General features: G+C 39.4%; 1 protein-coding gene across 3 annotated transcripts in view, besides 5 other annotated features; it reads left to right on the forward strand.

The window, feature by feature from the left end:
* Nucleotides 5679–5973: a silencer, noted in NCBI's record as "tiled region #11866; HepG2 Repressive non-DNase unmatched - State 1:Tss". NCBI's record gives its function as "represses a minimal TATA promoter and a strong SV40 promoter by Sharpr-MPRA in HepG2 cells {active_cell/tissue: HepG2}" and the evidence as "EXISTENCE:reporter gene assay evidence [ECO:0000049][PMID:27701403]".
* Nucleotides 6454–7432: an enhancer, noted in NCBI's record as "NANOG-H3K27ac-H3K4me1 hESC enhancer chr1:93913324-93914302 (GRCh37/hg19 assembly coordinates)". NCBI's record gives its function as "activates a minimal SCP1, AML or CMV promoter by ChIP-STARR-seq in naive H9 embryonic stem cells {active_cell/tissue: H9 hESC(naive)}" and the evidence as "EXISTENCE:reporter gene assay evidence [ECO:0000049][PMID:30033119]".
* FNBP1L (formin binding protein 1 like) overlaps nt 6805–27083 on the forward strand; it is a 106544-nt gene continuing 86265 nt past the window's right edge. For all 3 annotated transcript variants that reach the window (NM_001164473.3, NM_001024948.3, NM_017737.5), the window contains exon 1: nt 6805–6992. In NM_001164473.3, the coding sequence (NP_001157945.1) occupies nt 6969–6992 (24 nt within the window). In that variant the 5' untranslated portion in view covers nt 6805–6968. The remainder of the gene's footprint in view (nt 6993–27083) is intronic.
* Nucleotides 6913–6962: a silencer, noted in NCBI's record as "silent region_1083". NCBI's record gives its function as "represses an Ori minimal core promoter by ATAC-STARR-seq in GM12878 lymphoblastoid cells {active_cell/tissue: GM12878}" and the evidence as "EXISTENCE:reporter gene assay evidence [ECO:0000049][PMID:35858748]".
* Nucleotides 13377–13896: an enhancer, noted in NCBI's record as "H3K27ac-H3K4me1 hESC enhancer chr1:93920247-93920766 (GRCh37/hg19 assembly coordinates)". NCBI's record gives its function as "activates a minimal SCP1, AML or CMV promoter by ChIP-STARR-seq in naive H9 embryonic stem cells {active_cell/tissue: H9 hESC(naive)}" and the evidence as "EXISTENCE:reporter gene assay evidence [ECO:0000049][PMID:30033119]".
* Nucleotides 13897–14415: an enhancer, noted in NCBI's record as "H3K27ac-H3K4me1 hESC enhancer chr1:93920767-93921285 (GRCh37/hg19 assembly coordinates)". NCBI's record gives its function as "activates a minimal SCP1, AML or CMV promoter by ChIP-STARR-seq in naive H9 embryonic stem cells {active_cell/tissue: H9 hESC(naive)}" and the evidence as "EXISTENCE:reporter gene assay evidence [ECO:0000049][PMID:30033119]".

Genomic DNA, 27083 nt, shown 5'->3' on the forward strand with positions numbered 1-27083 from the left:
TATAATATCTGAAATTCAAATTTAAGTGGGAGTCTGAATATTTAATCTGGCAGCCCTATAGAAAATTTTGAGTCATCGGAAGTTATTCCAACTGATAGTCTGTAGAATGCCCTCTTTTTGAGACGACCTAGGTTATAATTTTAAAACCAAGCCCTTTAGGTTAAAGCCAAATTCTCTGAGTTTAATGATAAATTAGGTATCTGTTGGCTTACTTCAACATAAATGGATTTAATTTGCTGTTTTATCTCATGGGATAAACCTGTATTGTTACAGTGAAGTGGCCACTGAAATTAAAAAATAAACTTGAGGCCAAAAGTTTGAGACCAGCCTGAGCAATATAGTGAGACCCTCTTTCTAAAAACACAAGAAATTAGCAAGATTTGGTGGAATACAATTAGTCACTGCTACTCAGGAGGCTAAGGTGGGAGGATCACTTGAGTTTGAGGAGGAATTGAGGTCCAGGAGTTTAAGGCTGCTGTGAAATATGATGTTATGCTTCATGTCACTGCCCTCCAGCCTGGGCAACAGAGCAAGACCCCATCTCTTTAAAAACAAACAAACAAAACACCAAATCTTGAATTTACACATAGTAGATTATGTGTATTACTTTTAAAGAATTTAAAATATCTAAAGTCTGAGCCATGTTAGTCTTTAGAATCAACATTAAAATCTTAGCAGACTGGATTTGGATAAGGATAAAGAGAACCAGCCTAGAGGTAAGTGTTCATGATTGATTATTTAAATCATTTTTATTATCAATAAAAAAGTTATTAAGCATTTACTTAAATGGTGAAAAATTCTGACATGAAGGATGCAGAATTGTGGTTTATTATCTTTTAAGTAAATCAATAATAACATATTATGCTGCAGTTTGCCACGGTTACCACAGGGCTGAACGAAGGAGGATGAACGAGAAATGAAAACTTAAAACAAAAGAAACTGTCTTAAAGAAGGGATCTGGGGAAGAAGAAGAGGGCTTCCTGCTTCTACTAAGCAAAGGCAGCCGCCTTGAGCTTCTACAGCCGTTCATATTTATTGTGTAGATAGAGCAGGGAGCAGGAGGTAATGATTGGTCAGCTACTTAACTGATCACAGGTTCACATTATTGCTAACAGGCTTCAGATGCGCCTAATCACAAGAAACACGTGCCTGGGGCGTGACTGCCCTCAGCATTCCTTCTGGGCGGCAGACGCAGTTTATCAGTTTGCCAACACCCTGCTTTCAAGGGAACAGTTTGCTGTTTACTCATATAGCCTCCAGTGGTATACTGAGTTGGTCACAAACCTCACTCTTTCGGCCTGCAACAATATTATAATAAATATCAAATGACAAAGAATTACAAATGTTAGAATCCTACTATGAAGATAGTAGAGGCAAAGATTACCACAATGGATATGATTTTGTTATATAAGAGATGAAAAGAACTTATAATTGTGTTAGACCCTGAGTATCCCAGACAATATCTGAATGGACTCAATAAAATTAAAATTTATCATTTCATTTCAGAATTGTAGCTACAGTACCTTTTCATTTCCTTCCTTGCTAATCTACATAGGATTTAGACGGTGGTATGCTTATGTTTAACAATCAGTGCTCCAGCAAAAAAGCCCTGATTGGAAGCATTTCCTAATTCCTGTGGTGTAAAAACTCTTACCATGACTGCTATCAAGCTAACACTTTTTAACAACCTGTTGGCAAAATTCCTGAAAATTTGTTCTTGTGAATCTGTACAAGCTGATTTTATTTCTATGAGTTTATATGATGTACCTGTCTGGTTTTCATAAAAAGAAAACAGAGAATGTTTGTTCTTTGTTAACTGGTGTGCATATCTTGAAAATTTTTATCACATGCCAAAAAATTTCCAAACAAACAAAACTCAACAACAAGAAAAAAAATAGGAATACTTTAAGAAATTAATATAAATTTTGAACGGGTTTGGGAAAGTACAACCAACACCTAGAGAAAACTATAACTTTTGTTCTACCAGGTCTCCTGCCCTGAAGAAAATTTAATATAAACAAATACCTAAACGTTTTTAAAGTTACACAGTTCTATCATAATGCAGTGGGAAAAATCCAACCAATGTAGAAAAGTAGACATAAGTTACCTCTTTAAACACGTCTATTCTGTTTGATTTATATAGAATTTTTTTTTGTTTTTCCACATTTCACTAGAGCAATTACATGAAATGCTTTAACTAGATTCAATAATGGTGAGTAGAATTCCAAAAAATATAAAATGGCCTCTCTGTCTCCCTCTCACTTTTTTCCCCTCTCTCTTTCTTTCTTTCTTCAGGGAGCCACCTTGAGCAATGCCCTTGAAGTTTTGGATTTCTTCCAATTCTTGGGTAGGAAAACTGGCAGTACAGAAAGTAGTGATGACTATTAACTAGCCAGTGCCATTCTTCATTTGGCTGGCATGGACTCAGCATGCTAGTGTGATCCCATTTTTGAAACATTAAAATGGTACTGCTCTTTGATTTTCTTCCTTAAGGTAGTTTTAGCTTGGTTGTTCTGGCCTAGCTACTTGGAGGATAATTTTATTTCTGGACATTGTCTCTGTAGCTTTAATTTTAAGACAATGTCTTAAGATTTTCAAATGACAAGGGATTGATTTATGGTTGAAAGTTGATGTTCTTGGACTAGTAAATTATTATATATCCCAGAAAGCAGCAGTGAAAAAACCTTGTTTCATATTTTGCCTTAATAAAGGATTCATGAAGGGAATATTTGAAACCAGAAAGGGCATTAGCTAAATGTTTATAACATAAAGAAATTATAAAAGGAATTTGCATTTGAATTGCTACATGATAATATATGCAAAAGAAAACACTTTAATGGATTATTATAGACCAGAGTTCTATGATATGCCTGAAAAGAAAATGCATTCAATAAGTTATTTTTCATAATAAAAAGATACATTGTAATAATTGTTTAAATTGCTAAAGCACCTTTGTAATTTAAGCCCTTTCAAGTTTACTTGTAGAGTAGCTTCATTGTATATGGAGAAAATAGAACAATATCATTCTTTTGTTTCTTAGTATTATTACCTTATAAATTATGTAATATGAAATCGAAACTATGTGGTGATTGATTGCCAAGATAGGTCAAGTAGCAAAAAAGTATAATTGGTTTGAAGATTTTTACATTTAATTATTAAAATTATGATATAGAGGTAGCATCTGGAATAAATTAATATTAGATTTCTACTATAATAAAGAGATATTTCTTTCACGATTCTGAAAGTTATGTTTTAACATTTTAAATTTAATTTACTTTAATTTTTTAAAATAAGAGATGGGGTCTTGCTTTGTTGGCTGGGTTGGTCTTAAACTATTGACCTCAAGCAATCCTCCCACTTCAGGCTTCCAAAGTGCTAGGATTACGGGCATGAGCCACTGTACCTGGCCAGTTTTAACATTTTTAGAGATAAAAATTCTGTGCTTGAACTGCTTACAAAATGCCTTGTCATGAGTCTATAAAGAATAAGTTATCTGTAAAAATAATTTAATGCCAAAATGATTTTGATTATGTGAAAAATCATAAATGTCTTATAAACTGCCATACTGATAATATACATTTGTGTATGTGACTATGTGTATGTAAAATATCTGCATGTTTGTTGGCTAAAATGCCTATATGCTATTTTAGAGAGGATTTGTTCTAATAGGAAATACTTTGAAATCTGATTAATCTTTATTATTTTTTTAACAAAGTATAACACTAAACATTTATTTCTTTATTGTGAAAGTTTTCACTTTTTAATTGTTTTTGCTTAAACATCGTTGAACCAGTGACTTTTAATGTCATGAAAGAATTTTATAAATTACAAATAATTCTTTAGAAGAGATTATTTAAGGTGGTAATATGAATTATATTAAAAATTTTATAGTAATGGAGGGTAACAGAAATTTTATTTAAATTTGAATATTACAACTTGATGCAGGGCTGGGTGCAGTGGCTCACTCCTGTAATCCCATCACTTTGGGAGGCTGAGGTAGGAGGATCACTTGAGTCCAGGAATTTGAGACCAACCTGGGCAACATTGTGAGACCTCTGTCTCTACAAAAATAAATAAATAAATAAAAATAAATACATAAATAAAATTAGCCAGGTGTGGTTGTGTGCCTGTGGTCCTAGCTACTCAGGAGGCTGAGGTGGGAGGATCACTTGAGTCTGGGAGGTCAAGGCTGCAGTGAGCTATGATGGTGCCACTGCACTCCAGCCACTCCTAACGTCTCCAGGACATTAGGAGACCTTGTCTCAAAACAAAAACAAATAAGAAAACCCTTGATGCCCCCAAATCTAGCTTTTTGAAGAGAAATGAATTGTTTTAATTGTGGAATCCTGCTTCAGAACCTTGGAAGAAGAAAAAGTCTTCATGTAGGAGGTGAGCTTTATGTTCATTTGGGAAATTACATAAACAGCACGGTTGAAAATTTTAATGTGAACAGTAGATTATTTTACTTTAAAGGGAAATCCTCACTGGGCGTGGTGGCTCACGGCCTGTAATCCCAAAACTTTGGGAGGCTGAGGGGGTTGGATCTCTTGAGCCCAGGGGTTCAAGACCAGCCTGGGCACCAATGGCAAAACCCCATCTTTACAAAAAAATCCAAAAAATTAGCCAGGTGTGGTGGTGAGCACCTGTACTCCCAGCTACTTGGGAGGCTAAGGCAGGTGAATTGCTTGAGCTGGAAAGGTGAAGGTTGCAGTGAGCCCAGATGGCAATACTGCACTGCTGGGCAACAAAGCAAGACTCTGTTTCAGAAAAAAAAAAAAAAAAAAAAAAAAAAAAGATAAATCCTTTAACTTGGGTTTAAATTATATTCTATAGGTCTTAGCTTTTATGACAATACTTAGATATAATAAATCTTGGTATTGCTGTGGTGCTAAATAATGACACCCATTTAATAAATCCATTTCCCAGCTGGGCGCAGTGGCTCACGCCTATAATCCCAGCACTTTGAGAGGCTGAGGGGGGCAGATCACTTGAGATCAGGAGTTCGAGACCAGACCGGCCAACATGGTGAAAACCTATCTCCACTAAAAACACAAAATTTAGCTGGGCGTGGTGGCAGGCGCCTGTAATCCTAGCTACTCGGGAGGTTGAGGCAGGAGAATTGCTTGAACCTGGGGGGTGGAGGTTGCAGTGAGCCGAGATCGCGCCACTGCACTCCAGGCTGGGTGACAAGAGTGAAACGCCGTCTCAAAAAAAAAAAAATCCATTTCCCCTTACTAATTAATGTTACTTGCAATTGCAAAATACATTCATGATTCTAGGGAGTGATAGGAAGTGATGGGAGAGGCGGTTAACAGTGTTAGGTGACATAAATAAACGAAGAAATTATTTTGGAATAGAGGCAATGTAGAAAAATGTTAGAAAGTGTTGTTCAATCCTTCACAGGCTTTTCACTGCATGGTACAAAGTTAAGCATTTAAAAATTGGCTATAACCCACTTGGAAGAGGGCATTTGTATGCTTAAAGTGGCCTCAGAAAAGGACAGCAGAGAATTTAGGAAGATTAGCAACTGGACTGTCAGGCGAACTCAGGCTGTTGGCCTCAACTCCAAGAGGGAGCGCAGCTAGGCAAAAGAATACGGATTAAGCGGAAGAGGTTGGAACACCTGTCCAGGCCAGGTAGGGGAGGAGTTTCAATGCTGACAAAGAACCCGTTGGGAGAGCTTCCTAAAACACCCAGCTGTCATGACGCACTGAGGAGTACTCTACTAGTTGACTGTTTTGAAGTGTGTGTGTGTGCGCTTGCTTGCTTTAGGAGACAAGCTATTAATACTAAAGCATATGTTAGGGAGTTGCTCAGCGTACTTGATATCTAGTAGCACCAGCCAAACTAGCTAACAGCCTTTCCATGGAGATAGGCCAGGAAGTAGCTCCATAGAGAAAAAAGGAAGTAGTGGACCTGCCTCCAAGGTTCCGATACTGGGAGGTGAAAGAGATCTGAAGTTCCGAATAAGCTGTTTACACTACCAGAGAAAAATCTGGCTCCCATCCAACCCTCACCCACGAGGTGCCCATTCCAGACATGGGGCAAGCTGCCTTCTCATCTTCCGCAGGTGACAGCTCGGCTCACATTTGTCCACGTCTTCCATCTCGTGCGCTGGCAACATACCTAAATGATTACTGGAAGAGCTGCCTCTTTTTATAATTTCCTGACAGAATTTATAAAATTAAAATATTTAATTAAAGACAGAATCGGGGACATGTTGCCTTCACATTTGCTGTTCAACCTGTGCACATTTTGGTGGTTCCCAAGAATCGTCATGCCAAAGCATCAGGCTTGAAAGGAGAGATCACCTTAAGCATCAAGATTTAAAAAAATAAAACACAACTCTCCTCAGTCTAAACTCTAGGATTTGGATGACGCTTCCCTGTCAAGGTTTCTCCCGAGTGGAGGAGACAAGAGGCAGGAAAGGCAGGTAACTAAAATTGCCTCATGTAAAGGGGCTCAGCGCAGAGGAGGAATGAGATAATAGCGGCGGTGGGGGTCTTTTCCCTTCTCTCCCTTTCTATCTTGGAAACAGGGGTCCGACTGGCAGCGGAGTGGGGGCAGTCCAAGCTCCGGGGTACCTGCAGGAGGAGACTCGACCAGCGAGAGGGGCCAGCGAGGGTGACCAGGTGCCCGCTTGGGGACCCCGCCGGCGGTGGCCAGGCTAGCCCAGGTCCTCCCCGATCCCAGGATGCACTGCGCCCCGCCCCCTCCCCGCGCCGCGTTCCGCCTCCCCTCGGCCCCGGCCCCCTCCCGCCCAGCGCGGGGAGGCGGGGACGCGTCGGCGGCGGAGGCTTCTCCAGTCGCGTCTTTCTCACTCACTGGGGAGCCCGGCGGTGGCGGCACCTTTCGAGGTAGACCCGCTGAGCTGCTAGCCCGCCGGCCAGCGAGTGAGAGGTCGGACAGACTGTGGAGCCGACAGACTGAAGGACAGCGGCACCGCCAGACGGCCAGAAAGTTCCGCCATGAGCTGGGGCACGGAGCTGTGGGTGAGTCGGGGAGAGGGGCGCCCCGCACGGACCCCGGCCCCTGAGAAGCGCGGGTTGGGCGGGCGCCGCGGACCCTCGGCGGTGAAAGCGCGCTCCGCCGTCCTCGGTCCGGCGCTGGCGGAGGGTGAGGGTCCCGCTCGTCTTTGTGTGCAGACTCCTCTTCCCTTCTCGGCCGGGGGTCTAGGGGGCCGCTAGTCCGTGCTCCCGCCTTTGCCGCCGTGGTGCAGCTCGGGCGGCGCCCGGGACGGCCGGGGGAGCAGCCCGCGGGCTCCTGCGTGCGCCGTGATCCCCTCTTGTTCCTTCTCCCTCCTCCACCTTCACTTTTCCCGACGCCTGGCTTCGCGCCCGGCGGCTCCTCTCTTCCTTTGTATCTCTCCTCCCGGAGGCGGGGGAGGGGGCCCATTGTCCCCAAGGGGCGCTGTTCGAGGGCGGGGAGGGGACCGGCCGCGATTCCTCGCCCGGGCCAGGTCCGCGGGGCTAGGGCGTCGCCCGTCTGGGGCGGCGCCGCCCAGAGCCCTCGCCCCAGGTATGGGGACCCAGGCGGCTTTGTTCGGAGCCCGGCCTCGGGCCAGCCAGGCCCAGCCCACACGCACATTTCTCTCTCCCTGCCTCAGTGCTTCGGGCGGGCACAGCTTCGAGGGACTCCGGTTTGGCCACCCCCGGCTGCAGCCTTTGGGCTGGTGGGTTGGTTTTGGGGGCTGAATTAAATCGAGTGATCGATGAGGAAGCTAATTTTACCAAAAGGAGCGTACGGTCTCCCTGTTGCTTTACTTCCCTTTCCGTTCTTTATTCTCACTTGTTCTTTCTCCTTCGTTCTCTCCTTTCCTTTCCTCCTTGCCTTTCTTTGGCACAGGAGGCTCCAGACAATGCCCAGTGTCTGGCCAAGGTACGGGCGGAGGGTAATAGGTCGGAGAATTTGCTCCTGGCGCCGGCGCGGAAGGGTCGAGGTGTGGAGGGCAGTGATTTCTCAGGTGCGGAGGGCAGTGATTTCTCAGGTGCGGCCGGGAGAACTGGGGGCGTGGGGGCGCTGTCCCGAGAGCCGCCTGGCCTCAGCCACTCCCCTTTTTATTCCACCTGTGCCTGTTTTCCGTGCCTTTTGTTCGCGAGGATCTCGTGAAATCACTGCAGAGAAAGGGGAGAAATAACTTTTGAGTATGTGTGTGCCCAGCTAGGGTGGGAGTGAAAGCCAATGGGTTAATTGAAAGGCAAAATGTTTTCTTATTTTTCACGTCTACTCATAGATTGGGAATCTTAGAACTGTGAGACTTTAGAGTCCATCTAGTGAATGCTTTACTTAGCCAGCCAGGAATCTCTTGTGCAACATTCTGTACAAGTGCTTACCCAGTCTGAAAACACACCACCCAAGAGAAAATACCTTAGGAGCCCCTTCATTCCGTTTCTTAGATAGCATTAATTGTTCTTATATTGGGGAGGATTGCATGGTAAATGAATTACATAAAGTTTAATTCTTTTACATTGGTTAGTTTCTCAGGCATTATTGGCCTTTTTCCCTTACACTTTGTGCATTCTATAATTGATTATAGTGAATTATCAATGAAAGGAAATGGGTATAGTTTTATTTTAAATTTTTAAATTTTTTATTTTTTTCATGCCTACCAGAGTGCATTCATTCGTTTTTATAATTACAAAATATTTTAACTTTTGCCTACTTAAATGACTTGTGCTTCAAAGGAAACTAAAATGTAAGTAGAATACTTCTAAAAAGTAAACATAGGAAAACAGTGGAGGCATGTTATTTAGATTTAACTCTTAAGATTTTTAAAAAATTCACTTTGTATCACACTAAAGAATAACAGTTTTAAGGAAAAACATTTTAGTGAATAATAAAATGTGATTTTAAAAGTTTTTTTTTTAAACTTATGGTACTACCTAAGGAAACGATTCCATTCCTCTACTGTCTCCTATAATTTGGTTACTTTCAGCATTTAAAGAGTTTCTCAGCAATCTGAAAAGATAAACTGTAGAAGAGATGGGAATTTTTGTTCTAACTAAAATTTGCTTTGTGTCCTTTGGAAATTCTGAAAAAGATTTTTAATTTTTCTCAACATTTAATACATCTCCATATTTTAAGATTTTTAGTTTGAGGATTTGAGGGAAACATTTATTAGAAACTAAGTAATGTAGAGTGAACTAATATCAACTTGGTGTCTGAAACTTAGATAAGCAGAACTTGGTGTAGAGGACTATTGTTGGGACTAGAAGAAACCTTAGAAAAATTTGAGTATGCTTCCTCTTTTTACTGTTCTCAGTTTTGAAAAAGGATTATACTTCTAATGGATTGTAATGTAATACAAACAACCTGTACTGTGCTCTTGCCATTGAGGAATTTGAGGTTGGGAAATTCTCTCGAAATTTTGGATTTAGAAACCAGTTCTCCTATTATTTCATATTTAGAATCACATTACTGTCCCAAAGAGTTAATTATTGAGAATATGTTGTTACAGAAAAATGATATGTAGCCATGCACTTAAACCTGAGTCTGTTTCTTGTAACAATCATTGGAATTTTTATTGCTATTTTAATGCTTCTTAAGTCTTATGTTAAATTTGAGAAAAAAAGGAATTCAATAGAACGGCTCTAATACTGACTTTGGGGGACTTTTGTAGTGATGTGCTGAGTGGATCGTGTCAGACTTTGGTTGCGTAGTTGTTAGGGGATATGAATTAACTTGTAATAAATTTGAGCTGTGCTTACAGGGATTTCTAGTGTTCCAAATGAGTAAATAAGTTAGTGAATATATACTACAGTCACAGTTTTGCATTGTATTCTGGGTAATACCAAGGAAAGAGATGATACTGTCTTCACTTCTTCAGGATGCGTGGTAACATCTTAGGCATTGCTTATTGTGTTCATTTCTTTATTACATAGCAAGAATGGATGGATCAGATAGCCAAATATGAATTAATAATTTCACAAAGCACAGATTTTGAAATTACTAGCTTTTTTTTAACAGATAGGGACATTAGAGATTGGAAAAGACCTATGTTTAGTAAATAAGTTTTACTTATTAAGAAATAGGTTTTTAGTTTTTGAGGACCTAGTTAAAGTTCGACAGAAAAAATCTGTGTATGGGTTGTGAATGTGTGTATAAATATGAAAAAAATATATGGCTGAGCACCTCACATTCATATGATTTACTGAAAAATTTGCTACCCAAGGAAAATGCTGGACAAGTCTGGTAGTTAGAAGATGGATTCAAATATCTGATTTAATTTATAAGTGCATATAAATCTTTTTTATGCCTTAATTTCTTGGTCGATATAATCTTTGGCCCTTAGTTTAAGAATGTGTAATTTAAAAGCCATTGTTATTTTCATCATATTATTTATATTATTATTATTTTTGAGATGGAGTCTCTTCTGTTGCCTAGCCTGGAGTGCAGTGGTGCGATCTCGGGTCACTGCAACCTCAGCCTCCCTGGTTCAAGCCATTCTCCCACCTCAGCCCCCCGAGTAGCTGGGATTTCAGGTGCACACCACCATGCCCGACTAATTTTTGTATTTTTAGTAGAAACAGGTTTTCACCACGTTGGCCAGGCTGGTCTTGAACTCCTGACATTGTGATCCGCCCGCCTCGGCCTCTCAAAGTGCTGGGTTTACAGGCGTGAGCCACCGTGCCCGGTCTTCATCATATTATTAACTAAATGCATTTGACAAAGCTTATATCTTTTTGGAAGAAACTGAAAAATGTGGGTTGAGTGATAGATTAGGTGGATAATTTATGTATTATCCTCAGTGTTAACCTTTTAATACTTTATTATCTTGGCTTCATAACACTTTATATAGCACTTAAATTTACATTGTAAGTGACTAGATTGTCCTTGAGTGTAGAAAGGCTGGATTCATCTTTGTTTTCACTGACCAAGACAATGCTTGTAGGTGATCATGCATGTTTTGCCCAATTGCATTAATAGTTGATTGCATTACCCAGAGTATTGATTACTAATTAGCAAGTGTATCTTTAGGGTTCTGAAGGCCTTTGTAGATGGTGATAGGTTAGGTGATCTGGATAACAGCTCAAGAAAGTCTAAAGCTGAAACCAAAATTATAAAGTTAAGTTTTACTACTTGGGTTAAACATTTTTGTCAAGTAAAATGGTAAAAGGATGGGGAAGAAAAGACCTACAGGTAATTTCTGGTGAATTTACTTGATTGATAGCTTGGTAATGTGACTGCCTAAATAATTGGTGAAATCTTAGGCCACATTAATAGATTTATCTGTAACAAAGGAATTGGGTCTCATAGTCTACTGGTTAGACCATATCTGTAATATATATGTATATTTTTAGAGATGGGGTCTTGCTATATTCTCAGGCCAGTCTTGAACTCTGTGCTCCACAATCGTCCTTCCTTAAGCTCTCAAGAAGCTGGGACTGTCTATAATATTGACTTTAATTTTACTTCACATTTTTTGGAGGGTGCTTGTCTAGAGGAGGTTGACAAAGAAAATTCATTATTAATGTAAACTGAATTGCTTCTCCAAAAGTAAATGAAAGGCCGTGAAACTGCTGTAGGAATTCAGTTTTGTTTTAAAAATACAATAATTTTGTGTCTATTATTTGGGAAGCACTGTTATGTTTGGTGAGATTTATGAAGGCTTATGATATTGGCCCTGCCCTGACAAAAGGTAGAGTTGCTTTGAGATGATATAACTTTACTGTAAACTCCAAAATACTTCCCTACATTGATACCACTGCCCAGAATGCCCTCTGTTGACCAATTCCTATCAACCCCATGCCTCCAGACTACCCATTCTGGATATTGTCTTATGGGACTACCACCTTATATTACGGTTATTATAGTTATTTCTTGTGTATTCAAATCTTAGGGAAATTGTCATGGTATAAATACTTAAATATCTTACATTCCCTTTTGTTGGTAGAAATTGTTGTGTTCAACATTGTATTACAGACGTTATTGCTATTAGTTAAGGAGGATGAGTGAGAGGTATCAAGATATCTGTTTATGTCACCATTCCATAATGACTATAATAAGTTGGAAGCTAGAGAGCTGCCTCTAACCAGTATCTCCTTTGCATAGCCACTCATACTCCATTTACTTCCATTTGCTTGCTTTCTTTGCCTTTTTCTTAAAATATTTGCTCTCTCTCCTTCCCCCACCCTATAAACCTATAAAATATGATTTTGGCTGGAAACTTTAAAAAAACCTATTCTACCAACTTTTTCCTCTGTCAGCTAGTTTGTAGAGAGGAAATAGTAAGAGAAATAGTAATGGCTTATAAATGTCAAATACCTTCTGTGTATATCAACAAGTGCTGTCTTATTTAATAATCTTCAATCTTTAAACATTTTCACTTCAATAGCAAAAAAAAATCTGTCTTGGGGAATATATCTATAGAATATTAAAAACTGGTAGGAAAGGTTATGTAAAGGTTTTGTTCTATAGAATGTGAAAGCCGTTCCATATTTCAGTTCAGGCCATGTCTATCTAATACACCTGAAACACGTAAACAGGACTGATGCTTGTTCATTCAACAGATGTTTATTTCATGCCTATTATGGCTTCAGCACTAAGCTAGGCTTTGTGGGGCATACTAAAAGAATCAATTAGATATCAGCATGAGCCTCAAAGCAACCCTAAAACAACTAGAAAGTAATAGATGGACTTTAGGGCTATGAAAAGTGACTTTTCATTCTAGGTATCACAGGAAAATCTTTAGGAAGACTGTCATTTGACCTAGGTTTTGGAATAAGAAGGGTTATGCAGGTGGGGGTTCCTGACAGGTTCCTAGAGGGCAGATATTGTGTCTTACTCATTGCTTATTCATTGTCTGATTCATTGCTGTATCCTGCCTGGATTAGCCTGACATTAGTAGGGTCTTTAATAAATGTTTGTTGGACTGACCTGAGTCTAGTGTTGCGTTTGACTTGAATTTGAGTGCACAATGTCTGAAAGTAGTGATGAAGGGTAGACTGGAACCAGGCAGGCAAAGAGGTTGGTCTGGCTGATTGCTTGATTCATGAACCTCTTGTGTGTGTGTATGGGTGTGTCTGTGTGTGTGTGTGTGTGTGTAGTTACACATTTGTATATAATCAAACCACTTTTCAGACCATTTAAAAATTCACAGAAGAAAATCTTAGTTTATTGGTAGAAGGGATTACCTCTTGCTTCTGAATACTTTGGTGGCAGGAGGGGAATACCTCTGGGTTTTAGAAGATGAAAGTGTATTTATTTTAGCGCCGCTGCAAGAATATTTGAAGGATGTTATTTCCTTTAATAATATGTTACTAATTTGAAATTAGTTTTATTTTTAAATATATATTATTACTACAGCTCGTTTATATTGTTTTTTATTTTCCCTTTATCTGTGACTGTATACTGTAGGCCCTCCATATCATTTGATTTCCACGTCTGTGGATTCAACCAACCATGGACTGGAAATACTAATTAAAACAATCATACAACAATAAAAATAATACAGATCTAAAAACAATACAGCATAACAACTATTTACACATATCATTTACATTGTATTAGGTATAAGCAGTCTAGAGATGACTTAAAATATATGGGACGATGTGTGTAGGTTATGTGGGTTATGTGCATATACTGTGCTGTTTTATTTTTATTTATTTATTTATTTATTTATTTATTTATTTTTGAGACGGAGTCTCGCTCTGTCGCCCAGGCTGGAGTGCAGTGGTGTGATCTTGGCTCACTGCAAGCTCTGCCTCATGGGTTCATGCCATTCTCCTGCCTCAGCCTTCCGAGTAGCAGAGACTATAGGCGCCCACCACCACGCCTGGCTAATTTTTTGTATTTTTAGTAGAGACGGGATTTCCCCATGTTATCCAGGATGGTCTCGATCTCCTGACCTCGTGGTCCACCCGCCTCGGCCTCCCAGAGTGCTGGGATTAGCGGCGTGAGCCACCCCACCTGGCCTGTTTATTTTGCTGGAGTGCAGTGGCACAGTCATAGCTCACCGCAGCCTCAAACTCCTGGGCTCAAGCGATCCTCCTGCGTCAACCTCTCAAGTAGCTAGGACTCCAGGCATGTGCCACCATACCTAGCTAATGTATCTTTTGTAGAGACAAGGTCTCGCTGTATTGCTCAGTCTGGTCGTGAACTCCTGGCCTCAAGTGACTTTCCTCCCTCAGCCTCCCAAAGTACTGGGATTACAGGCATGAGCCACTGTGCCTGGCTCTATGCCACATGCCATTTTATAAGGGACTTGAGCATCCATGGCGAATACCAATGCTGGTGGACAACTATATTTTTACTTCTATATCAGTTTAAATATCAGTGCTTTTTCTGGAGGTGAGAGGGTGTTCACTGGGAAAAATGCAGTTAGTTTAGATCCCCACTCTTCTGCTTTAATTCCTAGTTTCATGAGCTGATTTATGTACTAAGAGTATTCTAATAAGAAAATATTTTAGAATATTTGAAATATCACCTTCTAATTGATGACAATGATAAATGCTTTAAAACTGCAAATTGTGCTTTAAAAATAATAAAAGTAATCTGTTAGTGTTACAGATAATTTTAATATTGTCATCTGTGCCTTTCGGCATTTTCCTTTTTTTCCCAAAATAAGTTGTATTAACTTCTATGATTGGTTTTACAGAATTTTCATTGACTAGTTCTTTGAAACCTCTTTTATACTATAGGGGGATGCCGTCGGGCATTGTGAGATGTTATCTACCTGGGCATGGGGGTACACCCCTCTAGTCTCAACTATTTGGGAGGTTGAGGCAGGAAGATCGCTTGAGCCCAGGAATGAGTCCAGCCTGGGCAATATAATGAGACACTATCTCCAAGGAAAAATAATGTCTGACTGCTTTTTGTAATGTGGGAGTCAGCATTTAGAATCTGTATGGAGCCCAAGAAAAAAAATCTCTAATAACAAGGATAAAAGTTTATGTAAAGTGTCCATGTTGAATCCAAATTAGTTATTCATGTTTGGCAATTGGGGCATTTTTTCCTTAAGTTCTTGATAAATAACTAATCAGCAGACTTTACAAATATCTCATGAAAGACGGGAAATACTAGTATTTGTATACTTGTTATAGTTTGAAAAGAATCAGTGTATAGAGTGAGATTTTTCTATTTTTGGTACATCATAATTTTGTTGTTTTTAGGGAGTAAAGGATATCTGTTTTGTTTTTGCTGTGTCCTTGCTGCACACCCAATTTATAGAAAAGGAGCCAGGTGCAGCTGCTCATGCTTGTAATTCCAGCACTTTGGGAGACCAGGGTGGGTGGAGCTCTTGAACCCAGAGAAACCAGCCTGGGCAAGATGGTGAAACCCCTTCTCTACCAAAAAAAAAAAAAAAAAAAAAGCAAAAATAAGCTGGGCGTGGTGGTGGGCACCTGTAGTCCCAGCTACTCAGGAGGCTGAGGCGGGAGGATCACCTGAGCCCAGGAGTCGAGGCTGCAGTGAGCTGGTATCTGCCTCTGCACTTTAGCTTGGGTGATAGAGCAAGACCCTGTCTCAAAAAAAAAAAAAATCGTTGCTTTTGGGGGAGTATTTACAGGGGATGACAAGCCACTGAATCCCTCTATTGATTCAACAAATTTGAGTGCTTAATATATGCCAATTGCTTTTCTTTCTTATCTTTTTTGAGACAGGGTCTCACTTCCATAGCCCAGGCTGGAGTGCAGTGGTGCCATCACAGCTTACTGCAGCCTCGACCTACCTGGCTCAGGTGATCCTCCATCCTCAGCCTCCTGAGTAGCAGGACTACAGGTGCTTGCCACCACACCCAGCTAATATTTGTATTTTTTGTAGAGATAGCGTTTAGCCATATTGCCCAGGCTGGGATCTTCTGGGCTCAAGTGATCCATCTGCCTCAGCCTCCCAAAGCACTGGGGATTACAAGTGTGAGCCACTGCGTCTGACCTCCAACCACTATTCTGAATTGTATCACCATTGATTACTTTTGTAGGTTTTAAAATTTCATATAAATGATACCGTATGGTAAGTACTCTTTTGCACCTTCTTCCTTTTTAACATCTGTTTTCTTCCATTTTGCATCTTCTTCCTTGGTATCTGTGAGACTCATCCTTCCGTGGTTAGTTGCAATGTTCTATTTTATGTATAGAATTTGTGTTTTCTTCTGCCATTTGCTTGGGGTCATTACTGGTCTGGGACTACCTTAAACTAGTTTTAAAATGTGCAGTTCCCTTGTGTGGTTGTTGGATTTTGATTTTTTTCCCCTGTATCTCTTGCTAGACTAGCAAAACAGTGATTCTAATTTTTCAAGATTGGCAAACATCCTCAGGGCAAGAGTAGCTTATGTGCTCTTTTACCTTTCTGGATTCTCCTTTTTACTTCACGTTTCTTGGCTTATCTTTGATGATTTAAAAATTTTGATATATATTTTATCCAGATTTTTTATTAAGTTAAATAGTGATAGTTGACCCAGATAACTTAGCCCACCATTACTGGAAACAGGAATTTATTTTTTATTTTATTTTATTTATTTTTTATTTCATTTATTATTATTATTATTATTAATTTTTTTTGAGATGGAGTCACACTCTGTTGCTCAGGCTGGAGTGCAGTGGCACGATCTTGGCTCACTGCAAGCTCTGCCTCCTGGGTTCACACCATTCTCCTGCCTCAGCCTCCCGAGTAGCTGGGACTACAGGCGCCCGCCACCACGCCTGGCTAATTTTTTGAGTTTTTAGTAGAGACAGGGTTTCACCGTGCTAACCAGGATGGTCTCGACCTCCTGACCTCATGATCTGCCGCCTCAGCCTCCCAGAGTGCTGGGATTACAGGCGTGAGCCACGACGCCCGGCCGGAAACAGGAATTTCTTATATTAAGTTTTTAATTTTTGCTATTTTGATTTCTAAGAGCTGTGTTTTTTTGGTTTTGTTTTCTGAATGTAATTTTAAAATAGCATCTTCTACTAGTATCTTGGAGCAATATCTTCTCTTAGTTCTTTTTATAGATCAAAGACAGGTTTTTGAGGAGGAAAACTGGATATCCACATGCAGAAGAATGAATTTTTTGTTTTTAGATAGAGATGGGGTCTTACTGTGTTGCCCATGCTGGTCTTGAACTTCTAGGCCCAAGTGATCCTCCTGCCCCAGCCTCTCAAAGTGTTGGGATTACAGGCATGAGCTACCGTGCCCAGCCCAGAAGAATGAAACTAGACCTTCATGTCACACCATATACAAAAATCAACTTAAAATGGCTTAAAGACTTAAACATAGGACCTGAAACTGTAAAAATACTAGAAGAAAATATAGTTCCATGACATTGATCTGGGCAGAGATTTTTTAGTTATGACTCCAAAAACACAGGCAACAAAAGCAAAATGGACAAGAGGGATTACATCAAGCTAAAAAGCTTCTACACAACAAAGGAAGCAGTCAACAGAGTGAAAAGACAGCCCATGGAATGGAAGAATATTACAGTAATCCACCCTTCAGTTTTGCTTTTTGTGGTCAACTGTGGTCTGAAAATATTAAATGGAAATTTTCAGAAATAAACATTCACATAACTTTTATTACTATTTATTGTTCTAATTGTTCTCTTTTATTATTAGTATTGTTGTTAATCTCTTACTGTGCTTAATTTATAAATTGAACTTTATGGCAAGTATAGAAGTATAGGAAAAACAGTATAGACCCATATAGACTTTGGTACTACACGAGGTTTTAGGCATCCACTGGGAGTTTTACAGTATATCCTCTGTGGGCTGAGCATGGTGGCTCACGCCTGTAATCCCAGCACTTTGGGAGGCCAAGGTGGGTGGATCCCTTGAGGCCAGAGATATGAGACCAGCCTAGGCAACATGACAAAACACCGTCTCCACTAAAAATACAGAAATTAGCCAGGTGTGGTGGCATGCACCTGTAATCCCAGCTACTCCAAGAATTGTTTGAACCCAGGAGGTGGAGGTTACAGTGAGCTGAAATCACGCCACTGCACTCAGCCTGGGCGACACAGTGAGAGAGACTCTGTCTCACAAAAGAAAGAACAGAATGTATCCTCTGTGGTTAAGGGGGGACTACTATATTTGTAAACTATGGGTCTGAAAAGTGGTTAATACTCAAAATATGTAAGGAACTCAGACAACTCTAGCAAGAAAACAACTTGATTAAAAAAATGGGCTGAGGACCTGAGCATAAATTTCTGGAAAGAAGACATGTAATTGGCCAACATGTATATGAAAAAATGCTCAACATCTCTGATCATCAGGGAAATGCAAATTAAAGCCCCGATGAGATACCACTTTACACCTGTTATAGGACTGTTACTAAAAAAAGGAAAGATAAATGTTGGTGAGGATGTGAAGAAAACGGAACCCTTGTACATTGTTGATGGGAATGTAAATTAGTGCAGCCATTATGGAAAACAATATGACAGTTCCTCAAAAAATTAAAAATAGAATTGCCATATGGCCTAGCATCCCACTTCTGTGTATTTATCCAAAGGATAGGAAATTAGTATGGTGAAGAGATACCTGCATCCACTTTCTTTGCAACATTATTCACACTAGTCAAGATACGGGATTGCTATGATTTGAATGTTTGTGTCCCCTCCAAAATACAAGTTGAAGCTTAATCTCTAATACAAGAGTACACATTAAGTGCCCCTTCTCTGAAATGGTTGGAGAAGACCAGAAGTGTTTTGGATTTCAGATGTGTGTGTGTGTGTGTGTGTGTGTGTGTGTGTGTGTTTTTGGGATATTGAAATATTGGCATTATACTTATCAATTGAGCATCCCAAATCTGAAAATCCAAAACCTGAACTGCTCCAATGAGCATTTCCTTTGAGCATCATGTTGGCACTCAAAAGGTTTTGGAACATTTCCGATTTTGGATTTTCAGATTTGGGATGCTCAATCTGTTTTAAGCAGTGGGGCCTTTAAGAAGTGATTAGTCTGTAAGGGCTCTGCCTTCATGGATGGGATTACAGCCCTTATAAAAGGACTTGAAGGAGAGAGTTCACACTTTCCATTCCTATTTGCCCTTTTGGTGTGTGACGACATAGCACCAAGGCGCTGTCTTGGAAGCAGAGAGCAGCCTTCACCAGATACCAGTTTTCCTGGCACCTTGATTTTGGACTTCCCAACCTCCAGAACAATGACAAATAAATTTCTGTTCTTTATAAATTACCCAGTCTCAGATACTTTCTTTTAGCAGCACAAATGGGACTGAAACAGGAGGCAACGTAAATGTCCATCAGTGAATGAATGGATAAAGAAAATATCTGTTTTCACAGTGGAATACTACTCAGTTCTTAAAAAGAAGGAAATCCCAGGCACATGTTTTCAGGATCTCCTGTGGGATGTGTCACAGAAAAAAAAGGAAATCCGGTCATTTACGATAACATGGATGAACCTGGAGGATTTCATGTTAAGTGAAATAAGCCAGGTACAGAAAGACAAATATCACATAATCTCACTTACATGTGGAGTGTAGAAAAGTTGAACTCATAGGAACAGAGCAAAATGGTCGTAACCAGAGGCTGGGTGTGGGGAGAAGTGGGGAGATGTTTGTCAAAAGACTTAAACTTTCAGTTATGCAGGAAGAATAAGTTAAAGAGATCTATTGTACATCATGCTGACTACAGTTAATAATGTATACTTGAAAGTTGCTGTAAGAATAGTTTTATATCATAAATATATATAATTTTTACTTGTCAATTAAAAATAAAAATAGGTTTTTTATGTTTAGTTTTCTTATCTTTGCATAATATCTGTAACCTCCAAGTTTGCATTTTTTTCTTTGTCGGTTTTGGTTTCTGTCTTTCATGTTAGAGGCTTTCCTCAAGTATTTTATGATTCCAGGACTCTGGAAAGATGTCTGTTAAAATTAGGGCATACTGAGCTCTGATATGCTCTGCCTGTAAATTTAGAGTTTGGATTGTTTGAAGTTTTTGATCCTTTTAAAGGAATTTTGCTTGTTTACGCTGGAGTGTTCAGATCCCTTTTTTCTTTTCCAATCCTTTTGTGAAGGCCCAGGAGGTATGCAGGGTCTTCCCAGGGTAGAAGCAAGTTGAAGTGTTGATGTCACATATACCATTGCTGTTTATGGTGTTGGGAGCACAGTTTGAATTTTTTCTTAATCAGGTGCTTAAACAAATAGCTTGTCTTATGTAACAAGAAATTTGGAGGTAGGCCGTCACTGGCGTGGGTTCACGAGATCAACACTCTCAGAGTCAGCATATGTGCAATTGTTTTGGACTTTCCTTTGTAGTTATAAGGTGATAGTTGCAGTTCTAACCATCGTGTTTGTATTTAAGGCGCAAAAAAAAAAGCAGGGAACAACATCAACAATGTTTGCCTCTTTATCACAAATGCAAAAGCTTTTCTAGAAACCCTACAAAAAACATCTCCCTTATTCTCACTCTCCAGAGCTGGGTGCATTGTACCTGAACAAAATTAGGATTCTGTTAGGAAGAAGAGGAATAGGTATAAGGTATGCCAAAGCAAAGAATATAAGATCTCTGTCTCCAAGGAATTAATGATGGCTTTGTAGAGGGAAAACAAATATGTGGATATTTGAATTATTACATGGGAGTTAAGAAAAGGATAATAATACAAGTAACTGATCTGACATTTTAAGAAGAGATGACATCTTAAGGGATCTCACAAAGCCCACCATCATTTTAAGAGGCCTGTTAGTGAAGGACTCGTGTGTCTTAGCTGGACTCTATGGACCACTTCTTACTTGTCACACATCATGCCATGCTGACATCACCTGCCAGAATGGAAGGGTGTTTTGAGCAAGTATCCAGAATTGATGGGCAGTGCATGGTGGAGTTGACCTGACTCAAGACAGATGAGAAGATACTTTAGGGACTGAGGAAAGAGTCATGAAACAAAAGGCCAGAAATTTATTTTGTGAGTAGAAGATTTCCCTGGATGTTGGAAACAAAGATCTATATTTAACCCAAATCTCTTAGTCACCTAAATATAATACCAAGCTATAAATTTGTCTACAGAGAATAAGAGGCCATCAGCCTGGAGTTACTTTTTTTTTAAATTGATAGACTTTATTTTTTAGAACACTTTTAGATTTACTTAGAAATTAAGCAGATATTTATTATTCCTTCTGCCCCAGTTTCTCCTATTATTAACATCCTACATTAGTATGGTACATTTGTTATAACTAATGAACCAATATTGATACATTATTATTAACTAAAGGCCACAGTTTATTAAGGTTTCCTTAGTTTTTACCTAATACCCCTTTTTTTGTTCCATATTACATTTAGTTGTATGTCTCCTTAGACACTTGGCAGTAACATTTTCTCAGACTTCCCTTGTTTTTGATAACCTTGAAAATTTTGAGGAGTACTGGTCAAGCATATTGTAGGATACCCCTCTATTGGAAAATGTCCGATGTTTTTTCATGATTAGACTGGAGTTAATGGGTTTTGGGGAGGAAGACCATATGCCATTTGCATTACATTATTTCAAGGGTGTCTGTTATCCACAGGATTTTATCACTTTTGGCATTGATCTTGGTCACCTGGCTAAAGTAGTGTTTATCAGATTTTTCCACTGTATTTTTTTTTCCTCCTTTTTCTATACTGTACTCTGGAAGGAAGTCACTATGTATAGCGAAAACTGAAGGAGAGGGGAGTTATGCTCCCCTCCTTTATGATAAAGTATCTACATAATTTATTTAGAGTTCTTTTGCATAGGAGATTTGTCTTTTCTCCTCCATCTATTTATTCATCAATCATTTATTTATATCAGTATGAACTGATGGATATTTGCTTTGTACTTTGAGTTATAATCCAAGACTACTTCATTAGTTTTTTTGCTCAGATTATTTCAGCTTTTGACTGTTTGAGCTCTTTCGGTTGGCTTTTGTGTCCTTTTAACACACTGCCATCAATAAGGATTTTCTTTTAAAGCGCTTCCTTACTTTCTGGGACTGTAAGATATGTGATCCAGGCTCATTTTGTGCATTTCCTGCCCCAAACCTAGAATAAGCCATTTCTTCAAAGAGCCCTGGTTCATTTTGTTGTAGAATAGTGTTAGAAACAGATCTGGGTGCTGGGTATGCTCATTGCTACTGCTGTATCATTTCTTTTAGGACCTCTTAGCTTAACAAAAAATACATGTTTGTATATTAACCTGTGTATAAGATGCTCCTTAGGATGGGGTTGTGTTCCAATTAACCAGTTGTAAAGTTGAAAAACCATAAGTTGGGGACCGTCTGTGTACATATTTATAAATATTTCCTTATGTAACCATCTGTATTAAATCTGAGTTCTCACTGATGCCTCCAAATCTAATCCATTACCACATCTATCTTTCTAGCCTCCTTCCTTGCTTATCTGTAAATTCCTACTCCAGTGATTTTCTCTGCCTGCCATCCATTTGCTTAATCGTTTATTTCCAGTATATATGTATTGCAGTACCAGAGTTGTTAACCCATATCCCTGTGGGAAACAACTCTGTCAACTGGAGTACAGTGATTATGTGCAGTTCCTTTGCATTTGGTTTTAGGCTCTTCGTTTCCAGAGTTACTTACATCACCTTTTCTCATGCCCTTCAGTGAGTTTGTTTCATACATTTGTAAAACAGATTCTCCTATCACATTTTACATTCTTTCCTGAGATTCTGTGACCTAAATGATTTTTTAAACTTGCATACATTAACTTTCATTCTTCGTGCTGTGAAGTTCTGTAGGTTTTGACAAGTGCATAATGCCATGAATCCAAGATTCCAAGATCATGTAGAATAGTTTCACTACCCTAAAAATCCCCTGTGGCCTACTTCATACCCATAAGGGTGGCTACCATGAGAACAACAGAAAATAAATGGTGTTGGCAAGGATGTGAAGAAATTGAAACCCTTGTGCACTTTTGGTAGGAATGTAAAATGCTACTGTGCTGTGGAAAGCAGTGTGGTGGTTTCTCCAAAACTTAAACATATGATTCAGCAATTTCACTTCTGAGCATATACCCAAAGAATTGAAAGTAGGGTTTTGAACAAAGATTTACTGAGTAGCTACAGTACATACGGATCTTCTCCTTGTAATTGTAAAGATATGTACAATTTTCTCTAATTTATGCTTATTCAATATAGGAACCTTAAATCTGGTATACTATTTACTAAACACAATATTTGTATTCTGAAAATTGCCTCTATGTTTCTATCATATGTCTCTGGAATCCCAGTTACATGTTTGTTGGATCTTCTTGCTCTATCCTCCACATGAATAAAACATTCATTATTTATATTTCTCTACTGTGTTCTGTTTTCTTTTTACAGATTTTTTCAATAAATTTTATGATAAATTATGTTAATTGGTTGTTTGACATGTTTCCAATTTCAATCATAATATGTTGTTTTCTTTTCTACAAGTACTATTTTGTTCTTTTCCAAACAGTCAATTTCTTGTTCTTTAATCATACTTTCAATAGCAGTCTTTAAACATATTAAACATAATTATTAAATTATTACCTAATAACTTAAATACCTAGTTTGATGTTATTGCTGTCATTCAAGATGTGAGCTATTTACTTGTGGGTTTAGTGATTCTTAATCAGAAGTTCATGTTACTTTAAATTTATCTGCAGGAACCATTGAGGCTTGAGTATAACATGTGTTCCTCCAGAAATGATTTCTATTACTTCTGTCAGGTACCTTGGGGATGATACCAACCCAGAATCCATATAAGCAATAATTTTGACTTGGGGGTTTCTCAGGGCCACAATAGTCATAAGATTTAGGCTACATAGCTACATAAGTAGAAGTTTGAGGCTAAAAATCATCAGGGGAAACTTTTTCTGTTCCTCTCAAACTAAGGCTGAGAGAATTATGCATATCATGGTTTCATTTTGTGGGGTCAGGTTTTTCTGTTTTGCTCTGAGAGAATGTTACCCTTTGGGAGGCCCTGTTTCAGTGTCATGAGGGTTGTCTCTTTTTTGGGGGGGGGGGTTCTTTTTTATTATTATACTTTAAGTTCTAGGGTACATGTGCACAACATGCAGGTTTGATACATAGGTATGCATGTGCCATGTTGGTTTGCTGCACCTATCAACCCATCATATACATTATGTATTTCTCCTAATGCTATCCCTCCCCCAGCCTCCCACCCCCCAACAGGCCGCGGTGTGTGATGTTCACCGCCTTGTGTCCAAGTGATCTCATTGTTCAATTCCCACCTATGAGTGAGAACATGTGGTGTTTGGTTTTCTGTCCTTGTGATAGTTTGCTCAGAGTGATGGTTTCCAGCTTCATCCATGTCCCTGCAAAGGACATGAACTCATCCTTTTTGATGGCTGCATAGTATTCCATGGTATATATGTGCCACATTTTCTTTATCCAGTCTATCATGGATGGACATTTGGGTTGGTTCCAAGTCTTTGCTATTGTGAATAGTGCCACAGTAAACATATGTGTACATATGTCTTTATAGTAGCATGATTTGTAATCCTTTGGGTATATACCCAGTAATGGGATGGCTGGGTCAAATGGTAATTCTAGTTCTAGATCCTTGAGGAATCGCCACACTGTCTTCCACAATAGTTGAACTAATTTACAGTCCCACCAACAGTGTAAAAGTGTTCCTATTTCTCCACATCCTCTCCAGCACCTGTTGTTTCCTGACTTTTTAATGATTGCCGTTCCAAATGGCGTGAGATAGTATCTCATTGTGGTTTTGATTTGCATTTCTCTGATGACCAGTGATGATGAGCATTTTTTCATGTGTCTGTTGGCTGCATAAATGTCTTCTTTTGAGAAGTATGTGTTCATATCCTTTGCCCACTTTTTGATGGAGTTGTTTGTTTTTTTTTCTTGTAAATTTGTTTCTTTGTAGCTTCTGGATATTAGCCCTTAGTCAGATGAGTAGATTGCAAAAATTTTCTCCCGTTCTGTAGGTTGCCTGTTCACTCTGATTGTAGTTTCTTTTGCCATGCAGAAGCTCTTTAGTTTAATTAGATCCCCTTTGTCTATTTTGGCTTTTGTTGCCATTGCTTTTGGTGTTTTAGTCATGAAGTCTTTGCCCGTGCCTATGTCCTGAAAGGTATTGCCTAGGTTTTCTTCAAGAGTTTTTATGGTTTTAGATCTAACATTTAAGTCTTTAATCCATCTCGGATTAATTTTTGTATAAGGTGTAAGGAAGGGATCCAGTTTCAGCTTTCTACATGTGGCTAGCCAGTTTTCCCAGCACCGTTTATTGAATAGGGAATCCTTTCCCCATTTCTTGTTTTTGTCAGGTTTGTCAAAGATCAGATGGTTGCAGATGTGTGGTGTTATTTCTGAGGCCTCTGTTCTGTTCCATTGGTCTATATTTCTGTTTTGGTACCAGTACCATGCTGTTTTGGTTACTGTAGCCTTGTAGTATAATTTGAGGTCAGGTAGCGTCATGCCTCCAGCTTTGTTCTTTTTGCTTAGGATTGTCTTGGCTGTGTGGGCTCTTTTTTTGGTTCCATATGAACTTTGAAGTAGTTTTTCCAATTCTGTGAAGAAAGTCATTGGTAGCTTGATGGGGATGGCATTGAATCTATAAATTACTTTGGGCAGTATGGCCATTTTCCTGATACTGATTCTTCCTATCCATGAGCATGGAATATTCTTCCATTTGTTTGTGTCCTCCATCTCCTTGAGATGGAGTCTAGCTCTGTCGCCCAGACTGCAATGCAGTGGTGCAATCTTGCTCACTGTAACCTCCGCCTCCCAGATTCAAGCTATTCTCCTGCCTCAGCCTCCAGAGTAGCTGGAAGTACAGGTGTGCGCCACCATACCTGGCTAATTTTTGTATCTTTAGTAGAGATGGGGTTTCACCATATTGGCCAGGCTAGTCTTGAACTCCTGACCTCAAGTTATCCACCCGCCTTGGCCTCCCAAAGTGCTGGAATTACAAGCATGAGCTACCGCGCCTAGCCAAAAGTAGGGTCTTAAAGAGATATTTGTCCACCCGTGTGTATAGCAGCATTATTGACAATAGCTAAAAAATGGAAGCAACCCACTTGTTCATCAGCAGATAAATGAATAAACAAAATTTGTTATACACATACAGTGAATATTATTCAGCCTTGAACGAAATTCTGACACATTCTATAAAACATGGATGACTCTTGAGGACATCATGTTAAGTGAAACAAACAGGTCAGAGAAGGACGAATATTGTACAACTCCGTTTACATGAGGTACCTATAGTAGTCAAAATTGGAAAGAAGGAAGTAGAATGATGGTTGCCAGGGAATAGGGGTTGGCAGGAATGGGGTTATCATTTAATGGGTATAGAGTTTCAGTTTTGCAAGATAAAAAGAATTCTGGAGATGGTTGGTGGTGATGGTTGTACAACAGTATGAATGTATCCCAGGACCACTGAACTGTACACTTAAAAATGGTAGAGCCAAGCATGGTGGCATATGCATGTTGTCCCAGCTACTTAGGAGGCTGAGGTGGGAGGACCATTTGAGGCCCGGAGTTTGAGGCTGTAGTGTGCCATAATTGTGCCTGTTAATAGCCACCGTACTTCAGCCTGGGCAACATAACAAGACCCCAGCTCTTAAAAAAGGTAGGCTTGGCGGTGTGCGCAATAGTCCCAGCTACTCTTGAGGGTGAGGTGAGAGGATCACTTGAGTTCAGGAATTTGAGTTCAGCCTGGGCAACAGAGTGAGACCTTGTCTCTTTCTAAACAAAAGTTAAGATTGTAAATTTTACATTATGTGTATTTTACCACAATAAAAAATTGCTTCTCTCCTCCCCACAATTCCTTTGTGCTTGCCCTAGTCATCCCCTCTTCCCGTGTAACCACTGATCTTTTTACTGTGACTTTTCATTACCTCAGAAGGAAAGCTGTTGCCCATTAAGAGTCACTCCCTTCTTCTCCCTCTCCTCCAACCCCAGCCCTAGGAAACCACTAATCTTCCTGTCTCAACAGATTTACCTATTCTGGACATTTCATATAAATGGAATTATAGCATATGTGGTCATTGGTGACTGGCATGTTTCAGTTAGTTTAAATGTTTTCAAGGCTCATGCATACTGTAACATGCATTACTTTGTTCTTTTTTTTTTAACTGAATAATATTCCCTTGTATGCATATACCACATTTTATTCATCCATTCATCTGTTGATTGACTTTTAGGTGTTTTCTATTTTTGGCATGAATAATG

Source organism: Homo sapiens, chromosome 1 (genome assembly GCF_000001405.40).
Source record: "Homo sapiens chromosome 1, GRCh38.p14 Primary Assembly".
In the NCBI taxonomy this organism is placed as follows: Eukaryota; Metazoa; Chordata; class Mammalia; order Primates; family Hominidae; genus Homo; species Homo sapiens.